Raw genomic sequence first — 15301 nt, forward strand, 5'->3', positions numbered from 1 at the left:
GCAAATTCTCTCAAGGACTCTTCCGGTCTCCAAATCTACAGCCTACCTTCATGATTCTGCCAAAATAATCTAAATGTAACCCTCTAGTGTTTTACTGGGGATTAGTAGTTCTAATGTTGAAAGAGCAGACCGATAGCTCCCAAGGACAAACCTACAGATATTCTGAAGGAGAAATTACCTGGGTGCTCTTGATTCTTTTAAGAGAATATTTACATCATACGCTCTTTTAGTGTCCACTGTGCTGAACTGTTCCAATCTAAATCCTTTTGTTTTTTCCCTCTAGGTTGCTGTTTTCAAACAAAACACTAACAAGGGCCTGATGATGTATTCTTCATGTCATTATCTCTAACAGTAAGGTCCTTTTTGACATTCTTTCTTCACCAAGCTTCTCTGGTTTTCCAATTCTCTTCCTTTTTCTCTGGCTACTCCTGATTCCTTCTCTGCATATCCTTTTTCTTCTTTCCCGTAATACTGGATTTTCTCTCAAAGATTTTTCTAGGCCAATTTCTTTCGTCATTTCTGCAATGACTTTGAGGGCACACAGGTAACTCCCAAATCTGTACGTCTCTCAATATGAATATTTCACCCTGATCTACTGGGCACATTCCACTGGAAGCCACAACAATCAATAATCAATAATTGAACATTATTTCTCATAAGTCTTTTCTTCTTGTTCTTTATATTTCTCCAAACTACATATGTCAATAGGCCTCAAAACCATATTTACCTCTGAATCACATTTGATCAGTTTTTTTTTTGTTTTTTTAATTATTATTATACTTTAAGTTTTAGGGTACATGTGCACAATGTGCAGGTTAGTTACATATGTATACGTGTGCCATGCTGGTGTGCTGCACCCATTAACTCGTCATTTAGCATTAGGTATATCTCCTAATGCTATCCCTCCCCCCTCCCCCCACCCCACAACAGTCCCCAGAGTGTGATGTTCCCCTTCCTGTGTCCATGTGTTCTCATTGTTCAATTCCCATCTATGAGTGAGAACATGCGGTGTTTGGTTTTTTGTCCTTGCGATAGTTTACTAAGAATGATGATTTCCAATTTCATCCATGTCCCTACAAAGGACATGAACTCATCATTTTTTATGGCTGCATAGTATTCCATGGTGTATATGTGCCACATTTTCTTAATCCAGTCCATCATTGTTGGACATTTGGCTTGGTTCCAAGTCTTTGCTATTGCGAATAGTGCTGCAATAAACATACATGTGCATGTGTCTTTATAGCAGCATGATTTATAGTCCTTTGGGTATATACCCAGTAATGGGATGGCTGGGTCAAATGGTATTTCTAGTTCTAGATCCTTGAGGAATCGCCACACTGACTTCCACAATGGTTGAACTAGTTTACAGTCCCACCAACAGTGGAAAAGTGTTCCTATTTCTCCACATCCTCTCCAGCACCTGTTGTTTCCTGACTTTTTAATGATCGCCATTCTAACTGGTGTGAGATGGTATCTCATTGTGGTTTTGATTTGCATTTCTCTGATGGCCAGTGATGATGAGCATTTTTTCATGTGTCTTTTGGCTGCATAAATGTCTTCTTTTGAGAAGTGTCTGTTCATATCCTTCACCCACTTTTTGATGGGGTTTTTTGTTTTCTTCTTGTAAATTTGTTGGAGTTCATTGTAGATTCTGGATATTAGCCCTTTGTCAGATGAGTAGGTTGTGAAAATTTTCTCCCATTTTGTAGGTTGCCTGTTCACTCTGATGGTAGTTTCTTTTGCTGTGAAGAAGCTCTTGAGTTTAATTAGATCCCATTTGTCAATTTTGTCTTTTGTTGCCATTGCTTTTGGTGTTTTAGACATGAAGTCCTTGCCCATGCCTATGTCCTGAATGGTAATGCCTAGGTTTTCTTCTAGGGTTTTTATGGTTTTAGGTCTAACGTTTAAGTCTTTAATCCATCTTGAATTGATTTTTGTATAAGGTGTAAGGAAGGGATCCAGTTTCAGCTTTCTACATATGGCTAGCCAGTTTTCCCAGCACCATTTATTAAATAGGGAATCCTTTCCCCATTGCTTGTTTTTCTCAGGTTTGTCAAAGATCAGATAGTTGTAGATATGCGGCGTTATTTCTGAGAGCTCTGTTCTGTTCCGTTGATCTATATCTCTGCTTTGGTACCAGTACCATGCTGTTTTGGTTACTGTAGCCTTGTAGTATAGTTTGAAGTCAGGTAGCCTGATGCCTCTAGCTTTGTTCTTTTGGCTTAGGATTGACTTGGCAATGTGGGCTCTTTTTTGGTTCCATATGAACTTTAAAGTAGTTTTTTCCAATTCTGTGAAGAAAGTCATTGGTAGCTTGATGAGGATGGCATAATTCAACAACCCTTCATGCTAAAATCTCTCAATAAATTAGGTATTGATGGGACATATCTCAAAATAATAAGAGCTATCTATGACAAACCCACAGCCAATATCGTACTGAATGGGCAAAAATTGGAAGCATTCCCTTTGAAAACTGGCACAAGACAGGGATGCCCTCTCTCACCACTCCTATTCAACATAGTGTTGGAAGTTCTGGCCAGGGCAATCAGGCAGGAGAAGGAAATAAAGGGTATTCAATTAGGAAAAGAGGAAGTGAAATTGTCCCTGTTTGCAGACGACATGATTGTATATCTAGAAAACCCCATTGTCTCAGCCCAAAATCTCCTTAAGCTGCTAAGCAACTTCGGCAAAGTCTCAGGATACAAAATCAATGTACAAAAATCACAAGCATTCTTATACACCAGTAACAGACAGAGAGCTAAATCATGAGTGAACTCCCATTCACGATTGCTTCAAAGAGAATAAAATACTTAGGAATCCAACTTACAAGGGACGTGAAGGACCTCTTCAAGGAGAACTACAAACCACTGCTCAATGAAATAATAAAAGAGGATACAAGCAAATGGAAGAACATTCCATGCTCATGGGTAGGAAGAATCAATATCGTGAAAATGGCCATACTGCCCAAGGTAATTTATAGATTCAATGACATTTAATCAGTTTTTACACCTCCAAGTATTTTTAAAAGTATCCTTCCCACCCCCCCATTTCTACTACTAAGGTCATATTACAAGCAGTGTGATGCTAAATGTTTAACTGTCAGCGTTTCTGCATATGTATATAAAAACATATATACGATCATTATTGTTTAATTATCCAGATCAAGATTTCTGAATGGTTGGGCTCAGTGGCTCATGTCTGTAATCCCAGCACTTTGGGAGGCCGAGGCGGGTGGATCACCTGAGGTCAGGAGTTCAAGACCAGCATGACCAACATGGTAAAACCCTGGCTCAACAAAATCAGCCGGACGTAGTGGTGCATGCCTGTAATCCCAGCTACTCGGGAGGCTGAGGCAAGATAATCATCTGAACCCCGGAGGCAGAGGTTGCAGTGAGCCAAGGTGGTGCCATTGCACTCCAGACTGGGCAACAAGAGCAAAACTCTGTCTCAAAAACATGACAGCTATAATATTGTTTTATTGGTGTAAAGGATGTGTAGCTCACAATTTAAAAATTATGATAAAATACACAATCCTGTTTAATGTAAATTTTATAAATCCAATTTATTCTCATACAATGTTTTTATTAATTTTTGCCAAGTCCTTGTACCTATAGCAACCAACCTATGGTTGCAATTGATGAATAAATGCAGTCGTAACATAAATGTTGTGCAAATGTGAAGATATGTGTTAAAATTTTGTTCGTTATCAACATCTTGATAATAATTTTTGACATTATAATAGAAGACTTCCATAAATTTTTGTGCTACTCAGAAAGGAATGGCTATAAACATGACACAGTTTTAAATTTAATCATATTTTTATAGTTGTCTTCTTTTTTCCTTAAATCTAGACAATCAACAAAACAATAACTCAAATCGTAGTTGTAGCAGTTGCCAGTTGCTATAGTGTAAATACTCTCATCATGACCAGTTTCAAGCTACCCTCATAATGTTACGAAACACTGAATTGGGAAGAAATGTACACGAGTACCCCATTTTATATTATTTCCACCATACAGGTACATGTTATCTTGAGCACATAGATAACAGTAAAATATAGGAAAATAATTATAAAGTGAGTAGTTCAGGGGTACTTATTACCTTTATTTTTTATATAAATTATTCAATTATAAATTTACGTAATTTAGCTTTTAATAATGATTATATGTAAAAGCTGGTTCACAATGCTTCCAAAACTTAGCAATTGGCTCTCACAAACCAGTACAAACTGGTTCCAGGACAGCCCTGCTTATCGTTCACCTAGCTTGTCCAATAATTTTCTAACTAGGTTCCTTTTTTTCTTCTGTGCAAACCATCTCACATATAGTTCTATGTGTTGACACATGATTCCTATTAAAAAACTCAGAATATTTATCATTATTAAGAAAATAATGTCTAAATTTTAGGATAACTGTCATTCAGGAATCTTGATCTAGATCTTTCAAATATTTCTCACCCTCTTTCCTCCTAACTGGAAATACTTTGTCCCTTTGCTTCTTCAAATATAACACTTTACCTGTGCCTCAGGACTTGAATCAATCTTGAATTACCTTGTATTCAAGACATATTTATTTCATGTCTCTGATGTGTAAGGGAATACTTTTAGTACTGGGAATGTGGAAGGCATGACAGACTTTGTGTTCTCATAAAAGTCACAGTTTAGAGAGGAAGATAACAAATTCATGACTCTAGTGGAGTTAAGTATGGTACATATTGACTGCTATAGTAGAGGAAGGTAACTTATGGTAAGAGATACAAGCAAAGAAGAAGAAAAAATATATGTATAGGCTAAGCACATTTCATCTGCCTCATGTCCTAAAGGAGGATAATGTATTTGATGCATAGATAAAACAGGAGTAAAGGGTACATGGAGGGAAGAGGCAAGAAATAAACTGTGGAAGGTAGGCAGAAACCTTCTCTGACAGGAAGTTTGAACTTTATTCTGTAGGAAATTGAGGGTTTTCAAAGGATTTTAAGGAACTATCACTTTGACAGAAGTATGAAGGATGAGTTGAAAGGATGAAAGACTGGGGATGGTGAGACTAGGCAGAGGTCTTTTGAAGTAATTTTGGAGATAAATGCTAAAGCATTGAACTCAGATAGTAATAGAGAATTTGGAATTTAGTTCTTCAAGATTACTTAGTAACTGGATGTTTCAGTGAGGGGAAAGAGTCTCAAATGACTTTCAGGTTTATGTCTTGATTCAATGGATGGGCAATACATATGCTTTCTGTCTAAAATAGGTAGAATAACCATATAACTGATCATCCAAACCAAGACAGATTTGACAGCCAAATAGAATGCTAAAAATAATGAAAAGTCTAGAATTTTAAAATTATTTCACATTGATGAATTAATTGTTTTTATTTTATTGGTGGAACCATAAAATAGTCCTCTTCAAAAAGGAACTTCAAAAATAAAATTATTTCTAAAAATTACCACTTACATTTTGATTTATAGAATATATAAGCCTATTTATACATAACTGTGAATGTATCCATGATCAATTCAAAATATATTTCTGCCCTATAACTTTCTTAGTTTGTTCAGAACATGGTTTTTACTATGATGCTGCACTACTCCAAGTTTTGTTGACTTATGATCACTGCAAAACAAATAATTTTATCTTTACTGTTTGTAAAATATTGTTGTTCTTTGTAAAATATTAACAATTGCATTTCCAATAATGTCATGTGTTTCATCTATGACAAAAGTACTTCCAAAAGCTTCACTTAGATTCCATGAATTGAATGAAAAAACAATCAAACCACTTTTGGAATGAATTTTCTATTTGAAGTATCTGATGACATGACATAAAATTGACATTATTTAATTGTTTGTACAATTTTGCTTCTACTAATGGGTCAAAGATAATAGCTATCACTTTATTTTATAAGCAAAAGGAATGTTGGGATCAAAATAAGTTAAATTAATTGGGATGAGCAGTCATCTAATCTAAATGAAATGTCACTTTTCAAAGAGTGATACAAAAACACACTCGACTGCATGGGCTAATGTTAAGGAGTTTTCTTTGGACACAATCTCTGAAAGAGATGTATTAACTTTTGTAGTACACAATGATGCTGCCTTAGCAAATTTGTCATCTTCTATTTACATATGTTCAATTATGTCTCCTGATGATGGTTGATGGCAAATGTCAACATTTTGTGCAAGTTATATATTCAACATCAAAATAGCTTAAGATATGGAAAACCAGTACTTATTTGTTCAATAAACATGTACTGTTATTTTTTCATTTTAATTCTTGCTTAAAAGAGAATATATTGCAACATTTAAAGACATTACCAAAAGTAAAACTATTGAATATTTAGATTTGCACTGTACATAAATGCCAAACTCATTCTAGAAACAGTGTTTAAATTACTTTTCATGTCCTCCATGTCTGGGCTACTCAGCCTTTATTACCTGCCTATGTTTCATGTATACCCAGCTTATAATTTCCATGTTTCCCATTGATTCCACTGACTGATGTCTTTTTACATCTCATCAACCGCTCTATGGGCCCTAGCACAACTGATAAATATAGCAAGTGTCATCAAGGGCATTAGGGTAGAATAGCTGCTCCCATTACCACTTGATACCACATGGAGTTATCTGCCCTGGGAAGAAAGAGGAATTTAGCCATACTGTGTCTGGAAAAAGTTTAGTAAAGAGAAATGGTTAATCACTAGCCATTTCTTATTTTTACCACATATTAGAGTGAGAACTCTGTTCACTGTACATACATCTTACGCATTAGTGGTCAAGCCTATGGCAGAAGCTTGGAGAAAAAAGTGAAGTTCTGCTAAGCCCAGCCAAGACTACTTTAATTAAACTGCTAATAATACTTCATTATAAATAAAACATTGGAAACAAATATGAAACCAGACAGAATGCTGGGCCAACATAAAATCAATTGGAACTATTTCAGGAAGACTAGGATATACAGTCACCTTACTACTAAGTTTTACTCCAATGGCCAAATTAATTTATTTGGACTCCCAATTATACATTGTTGTCAGGTTATGTATGAACACACACTTTATTAATGTGTGTATTACTGCCAGTCTTCAGATTCTAGTTTTCTGTTCCAATTTTCAAGATGCCCTTTTTGGACTCTCATATTTTTGCCTCTAATGAGGATGATTTCCCAATATTTGCTATGGTCTTTGCTATGAGTTAAAAAAAATTATTTTTACATGCTAAAGAGAGAGAATACTGAAAGAGGCACACATTTTGGAGGGAAGATTATTTCAGTTTTGAACATATGGAATTTGCGATATCTTAGAGTCATGCATAGGAGTCATGCATTGTTAAGAAGTATAATATTGGACCTGGAGCTCAGGAAAGAAGTTTATGCTGAAAATATAGATTTAACAATTATCAGTTTATAAGAGGTTATTAAAAACATGGTGTGAGCAGCATATTTGCAAGGAGAATGAATACAGTGAGATGTTTCAAATGTAGAACACTGAGAAACAATATAATTTATGTATGTATCCAAAGGCTCTGCTTACTGCAGTGTCCACTTTTAGTTTGGAATAAATACTAAGTTATTTGCCAAGTCTGCAATAAACACCACCCTCAGAACTGCTTCCTTCTCTCTAAGGTAAGCCTCCAGCAGCCCTATTTTTTCCACTTCTTCTCACACCTGGCCACTACTGGTAAGCCAACTCTTATGACTGGGCATCCTCTTTGAGCCTATTAGAATGACATGCAGTTAAGGATAGGTGGATTGCAATATCCAAGCTCCAGGCATGGTAGAGCAGTCATATTCTCTGTCAAGTGAGTAGAGAGATTGCAAATGCAAAGGTAAAGAGATGAAACCTGGAAATTGGCCACTTTCTGGGTTTCCTGCTGCAGACTTTTCTGTTCCTGGGTCAGCCCTGAATTTATTCTTCAACTCTAAACAAAGTGCCAAGGCACTAGGTTGTTTTTCATGGCTACAATAATAAAAGGAAAAGTTCCATGGACTATTGGAATATCCTTTCCTCAGCTTTTGTATACTTTCTTTCTCAGGTTTCCATTTATCCTTATAATGAATCGCCCTTAAATCAATGTTAGCTTCAGCTAGTTTCTCTTGATACAACCAGGAAAACTTAGCCTTTATATGGCCAATATTTGTATCTTCCATAGATCAAAGCATAGTATATTTTACATCATCAAGTTCATCGATGTTCAATAAATGTTTGTGTAATTAGTAAGCAAAGTAATTAATAAATTAATGGCTACTTTTCAATAACCCTTCAATGCCCACAATAACTGTAGTATTAGCTGAAGTTCCAGGAATGAGGCTGTTATGACAAAAATATTGCTTCCCTCGAAAGTTCTATCAGGAGTCTAGCCTACTTCTAATCAGAGCCTTCTAGCTTGTTTACTCATGAAGAATAAAATCTTGAAAAGATTCTGAGAAAAGCAGGTTTAAATCAAACTTTTTTGCATGCTCCAATACTTTGCATTTCAAGTAAGTGGTTCTGCTTGGTTTCCTATAGGGAGACCATATTCAGTTTCTTGTTGCATTCATTTATTGCTAGCTGTGTTAAGGATAGTTTTGTACCACTTATTTTTATTCCACTTACTGAAGAGTCATATCAGCTGAAAACATGTTATACTGGGAACAGTCAAAACATAGGTAATAATGATGCTTATCTAGTCATCCCTTTACTGTTGCAAAACACTCTCTTCAACCCAAAGTCCTAAAGCAAACAATGACATGAGCAGAAAACTACATAGAAGAAACCACCAAGTACAGCTCTTACTATTATGCTTAGTGGGGAACAATGAAAATTTCCATGAGCTTTCGTGAGATCAAATTGCCCGGATTAGAATTCTGGTGCTGTCGGGTTCTCTCTGTGACCCTCAAATGTTAGTAAATTTTCTACCCGTCAGTTTCCTCAAACTTGTTTCCTCGAGTTGCTATAAGGATTAAATAATGTAATCCAAGTAGCTTGTTTAGCTCAAGACTTTGTTCAAAAATTGTTAGATACTATGATTTTTATTTTATAAAAATGGTTTACCCTAAGCTGCCAACTAAAGATAATAGCAGATAATGGGTAACTATTCAAAGAATAGCCACAAGATCTTTAGTCACGGTACCACAGTTGAGGTTCCATGCTTTGATTTATGACTTACCCACAGACTCCACACGATGTGAATAGCTGCTTTACATCTATGCGTTCATGTTTCAGAATGTAAATCAAAGATATCCATTGCCTCCTGGCTGTGGAATCTCGGAATCTGTAGTGTAATATTCTGTTCTTCAAACATGATAGCATCACTGACTAATCATCCCTAGATTATATTCTTTGAATCCTATGTCCTTAGAGAGATTGTGTGGCCCTTCCACACTCAGTCTGGTAATGACAAGGTGGGCAAATCTGTGAAGTTTTCAGTGTTCAACTTTCCATTTAAATTCCTCTTTCCCCATCTCAGTGGTTAGTCTACCCGTATATGCAGAAGCTTTGATTTTCTAAGATTCTTTCTATTATCTACCCCCCACCCACTCATCGAAACAGGAAGGGCTCTAATGTCTGCCAGTTATAGGTGTTAACTGGTTGATTGACTAATGACCCTTGATTGTGAATGAGCTTCTGTAAGTGTCTAACCATGGTCAGGTCCAGTTATATTAATCCTTTTGTCTCTAATTATGGAATAAAATAGTGCATCTCCATTAAAGGAATTTTGGGCATCTCCAAGTAAATTGGCCTTCCTTTTGAGAGTAAGGCCAACTCTGAAGGTAAGTCTGCTGGACTTCTTTTAGGATAATTGTATATATGCTCAGAAGGGACAAAAGTCCTCTTTTTGAATTGGCCTTTTAATGACTTAGGGAGAATAGGTTCAGAAGGCACTGAGACCCTGTTAAATCCAGGTCATCAGAAGAAAGAAGTGGAGACATAATCTTTAGAATGAGGGTCCCAGGCAAAACTTGGTCTCTGAGGAGAACAGAGCAGAACGAAAGTGCTGTTTTGAGAACCAAGACTAGGATTCTAATTCAGGGAAACAAGAAAACTTGTACTGCCTGGGTGCGGTGGCTTACACCTGTTATCCTAGCACTTTGTGGGGCCAAGGCGGGCAGATCACTTGAGGTCAGGAGTTTGAAACCAGCCTGGCCAACATGGTGAAACCCTGTCTCTAATAAAAAAAAAATACAAAAAATTAGCTGGGCATGGTGGCGGGCACCTGTAATCCCAGCTACTTGGGAGGCTGAGGCAGGAGAATCACTTGAACCAGGAGGTGGAGGTTGCAGTGATCCAAGATCACACCACTGCACTCCAGCCTGGACAACAGAGTGAGACTCCATCTCAAAAAAATAAAAAAACAAAATAAAATGAATAAAACTTATACCGAAGCAAGAAGGGCCTGTGCCCTGAATCCTGTGCTTCAGAGAACACCTCCGGGCCTTCCTCCAGCCATGCAGCTTCCCATAGAGTAAGGGGTACCTTCTGCTAAGACAAGTCATCTGGGGCCTGTGTCTAGCCTTCCAGACCATGCTAAGAAGACATGTCCATTTAGAACCTGCAGTCATCCTTCTAGACTCTGCTCAAATGACCTGGAGCCCCCTTCTGGGGTCTGAATAGCAATGTCTTGGTTTATCCTGAGGAAACTGACAGCACCACCTGTCTGGGCACCGCTAGTCCTGAGGTGCAGCTGTGAGGTGGCTGTTGGAGAAAGGCGAAAGATGAACAGAGTTTGAATTTGGATATGTGACTATAATATCCATCCATGGACACACAAGACCCTTCGAGGTGCAGAATGATGCTAGGAGTGGGAAGAGAAGCAGGGATGGCCAGGGGAATTCCATCTGTGCTCTTGGCCTGGTGCTCCTCAAACTTCCCTGACCAAAGAGAAATTTGACCCCCAAGCCTGAGGTGTGCTTGAACTTCCACGTAGGGATTAAGCGGCTATAGTTCATAAGGTTAGTGTACTCCAAAAATCAAGAATCAATAAATCCTTCATTTCATACCTAAAGGATAAATCTTGTACTCTCCTTCTTTTTAAATCACAGCCCCTTTTTCAAAAGAATGAAAAGAATTCTCAAATTTATGAGGTTTTACTTGTTTAATTTGTGCTTAATGTTTTTGGAAAATTCCAATTTGGAAATTGCAAACTCAAATACCTTGGGGGCCAGGGTAAGGGTCCAGCTCTGGCTTCAGGGTATAGGGCTCACTCAATAGCATTTACATTAAAGAAAAGTAAACTTAAGTGCACAGGAAGAATTCAGGTCCACTAGTTTGTCATCTTTGAATAAAACTTCTCTTTCCTTTCCTGAAATCCCAGACTATATCCTATGCTTTATTTAATATTTCTGGAAATGAAGTTTCTGCCCCAAAAAAGTATTGTTAGAATATATATTTCATTAACTACCTTTACGTATTATTTGTGTCCTATGTTTACTGCTGTTTCTCATTACTAAATGTACTAGAAGAAGAATATATGTTTAATAAGAATGTTGTTTATAATTGTATTCCTATGTGTGAGATACTGTGCTATATATGTCCAAGATCTGCTGGTTAAAACACACACACATACTGCTTTGGTATAAATATGTTTTGGATTGTTTTGTTTTTTAAAAGTATATTGACATCTTAAAATCACACAAGAGATGTTTAATACACAAGATTGCTCACTTAGCAAGTTGATTCTTAGAGGAAATATAAACAGTAAAATTATTAAATAATGAAAACAAAGTTTAAACAACAAAACCAGAATGGATACAATAAAATGAGTATTGCCAATTTCAAGTTAGTCACTATAAGAGGGCAGACCCTTATTCCACTGTTCCGAATATTTTTGGAAGTCCTCTTTCAGGAATTCTTAGGTATCTTTGGTATAGACCCTTTGAAATATTCTTAGTGATGGTGCATCTTCATCAATTGAGGTCAGATTTTATTTTTAGAAAGAGCAGAAAGCCAATCAAAGCCAAGTCTGCTGAATGAGATAAGTGATCAAGCTGAGTCTTTTCACTTCTGATCAAAATCAAAGCACAGTTATAAATCCCAAAGTGATGTGTTTATGTGGCTTTATAAGTTTCTACTGGCATTAAAGACAATTTTAGAGAAAACTTACAAATATGTTCTGAGTATCATTAAAATATGTTATTAACTACCTAAGATAATGACTTTGAAGAAAAAATTCATTTGGATGTATAGCTTTTAATGTACTTTTTTTTAAAAGGAGAAAAAACTAGGGTTTTTTTCAAACACTATACATCAAAATGAAATCTAGGTGAACTAAAAATGTATTTTTATAATTAAACCATAAAAATCTAGAATAAATTATAGCTGACTTATCATAACAAGAAAGTGAGAAACTTTAAGGAGCATATTAAAATAATTGGTTAAAAAATAATGTATCAAAAAATGCATTTAGAAAATTAAAAGACAACATATGGAAAAATGAGGTTTAGTAAATTTACACATTTTTAAAATAAGATATTTTTCACATTAGAAAAAAGCCTTAAATTTTTATACTCACTGGAAAAAAATACAAGTGCTCTCTTAGGCTATAGGATTATAAACTGGCACAACCTTCCTCTAAGGCAAGTTGGCATATGTAAGAAATGCCTGAAAAATGTGCCTTTGACCAGTCAGTTAATTTATAAAAATATATTTAAAGAAAGTATTATGAATGTGCACAAAAATTTTTATTCAGTTGAGTTCTGTGTACTAGTGAAAGAAAGAAAAATAATCTATGCCCAACTATTAGAGGGTTAAATTAATAAATTTTGATATTTCCATATAATAGAATAAACAATGAAAGAACAAATGTTGATAATACCCATGTTGTCAAACAATAACACAACTACAGCTATTTTACTTCTTTCAACAAACATTGAATCTATTTTCAAGTAATCTTAATTCAATTATTTAATGAAAAATAGACCATTGACATCTGGGGCTGTGTGTGTGTGTGTGTGTGTGTGCATCACTGATTTGTACTTTTGAAACACTCCTATGCTGGCTATGTTGTAATTTCTTTTCATTTCTCCTGGATAAAGAATTATCTCTATTTGTAGAAGTTTTCTCACTAACAATACCATGCACTTTAGTCTACATTAGAATGAAGCTGCACAGGACTCTGCTTCTTCTTCTGCCTGTACAGAGCTGTCTTCTTCAATGAGCACATTGTACTGCTTTTCCTTCTCTTCCGGAGAGAGGAGGTTTCAGAGAAAGTGATATAAAGTTTGTGATTATCGCTTCAGAATTGAAACTGTTTTTACTGGCCCTTTAAATCATAGAGAACAATACTGCCCAAGCCACTGATATCCTATCTATATCGGGTGGCCACTTAAATGTTATTTTTCTGCAGATCTTTGCACCTTTTCACATGTGTTTTCTTTAAGTTAAAACAAAAATAAATATGTTTTTGATTATTCATTTATTTCGGTCTGTTAAAACTTGAGCTCCTTCAACTTATTTCGTGTTGGTTTAATTGCTTATAGAGGTTAAAATACTTTCAATGAAATAACCAATCTTGTACTCATTCTACTACGTAACAGAGGGTATTTTCTTAGGATTTGTAAGGAAAATTCCCGAGTACCTTTTAGAAATTTTAGTATGTCTCAATTAAAATAAAATATTATTTTTTTGAAAAAAAGCTAAAATGTGTCAATTAGAAAAATGAGACTTATTGAAATTTCTGTAAAATAAATCACACATTTATATGACTTTCAGAAATATTGATAAAAGAATTTTAATAATCATATTTATATTGTGGACTCAGGACAAGGTAAAAATATGTGCCCTTTTATTTACTTACTATCTAAAAATTAAAGGATTTATTCTGAATTTTGTTAATATGAATCAAGTTCTATGTAAGCTATGGATATAATACAGTTATATTTCTTACTTTGGTGAAAAGTGATTTCACAGGAGTAGTGTAGAACCCCTGTTAAAATCATGAGTCACACATAGTCCGTTTGAGTCGTGGTCTTGCCACACTACCTATGTTACCTGGGAAGCTGCTCTATTTCCTCCTAGGTATAAAAGGCATGACAATTCGTATTTTGAAAGTTCATTAAAAGGCAACTGAAATAATATATAAAGAACTTTAGAGAGTTATTTGCTCATAATAAGCACTAAATAAGTGGTTGCTATCATTGTTACTGTTAATAATATCAGTTTTAAAGTTTACTAAATATCATTGTCTTCTTCTGAATTGCTCCATCACTAGGGCAAGTTGCCTCTCCAAGATCCATTTCAATTTTGACTTGTTCCTATACTTCCTTGATTTTTCTGGCTCTTATTGATCTCTCTAATTGCTTCATTAGTGATTCTTACCCCTTTCCCCCAAGTGAATTGTAAATTCATAGAGATCAGGGATCATGCCTTCTATTACTTCTATTATTTCTGAATTCCTTAAAATATATTTATTATCTCATTGTTATGGTTGTTTATTGCTATATAATATACAATCCCAAAACTTAGTAACTTAAATGACAGCCATCTTATTAAGTCTCGTAATTTCTGTGGGTCAAAAATTTGGACGGAACATTGCTGAGTGATTCTTCTATTCCAGGTCACTGACAAGTGACAGAGTTACTTGGTGGCATTCACCCAGCAGATGGACATGGAAAGTCAAACTTTACTCACATGTTCGGTGCCTTGGCAGCACTAGTGGGAATATTGGGCATGGGTGGGAGTGTCAGTAAGAGTGCCATTGCCTACATATGGAGTATGTGTCTTGCCCCTCCAGGATGGTGACATCATGGTAGTTGGGCTTCTTACCAGCTCAAGTTCCCAAGTGCATGACCTTATATTACTCAGCCTCAGAAGGAAAGTAATTGTAGGCCCACTCAGGTGCATGGGAGGGGACATAGAGCCCATCTTTTGATGGGTGGAGTGTCAAATAATTGTAGCCATGGCTTAAAACTGCCACAATCCTCTATGACACAAAGAATCCCTTGAGAGTGGACACTATATGCTGGTCACAGTTATATCATCAACTACGTCTTATAGATCAGAAGATACTCAATAAATAATTTTTAAAAGAGCCAATAAGGCATTAGCTTTGAAAAAAATTATTAAAAACTTAGCCTTTTTTCATAGTCTCTGTAGTTAAGAAAAATTAAACTAATGATTTTGAAGTTTTTTTTTATACAGAATCTAGTCTTTACTAACCTTTTCTACCATGAAACCATGACTATATTGAAAATTTTCTCATTTCTGTTTCCTTGAACTCCTAGCCTCGAGCAATCCTCCTGCATCAGCCTCCCAAAAGTCCTGGGATTACAAGCATGAACCACTGCACCTGGCTGCATTAGTGTTTCCTAAGCTTTATTAGTTTCTGACTCAATCTCTTT

This window comes from Homo sapiens, chromosome 5, assembly GCF_000001405.40.
Source record: "Homo sapiens chromosome 5, GRCh38.p14 Primary Assembly".
NCBI classification, from domain to species: domain Eukaryota; kingdom Metazoa; phylum Chordata; class Mammalia; order Primates; family Hominidae; genus Homo; species Homo sapiens.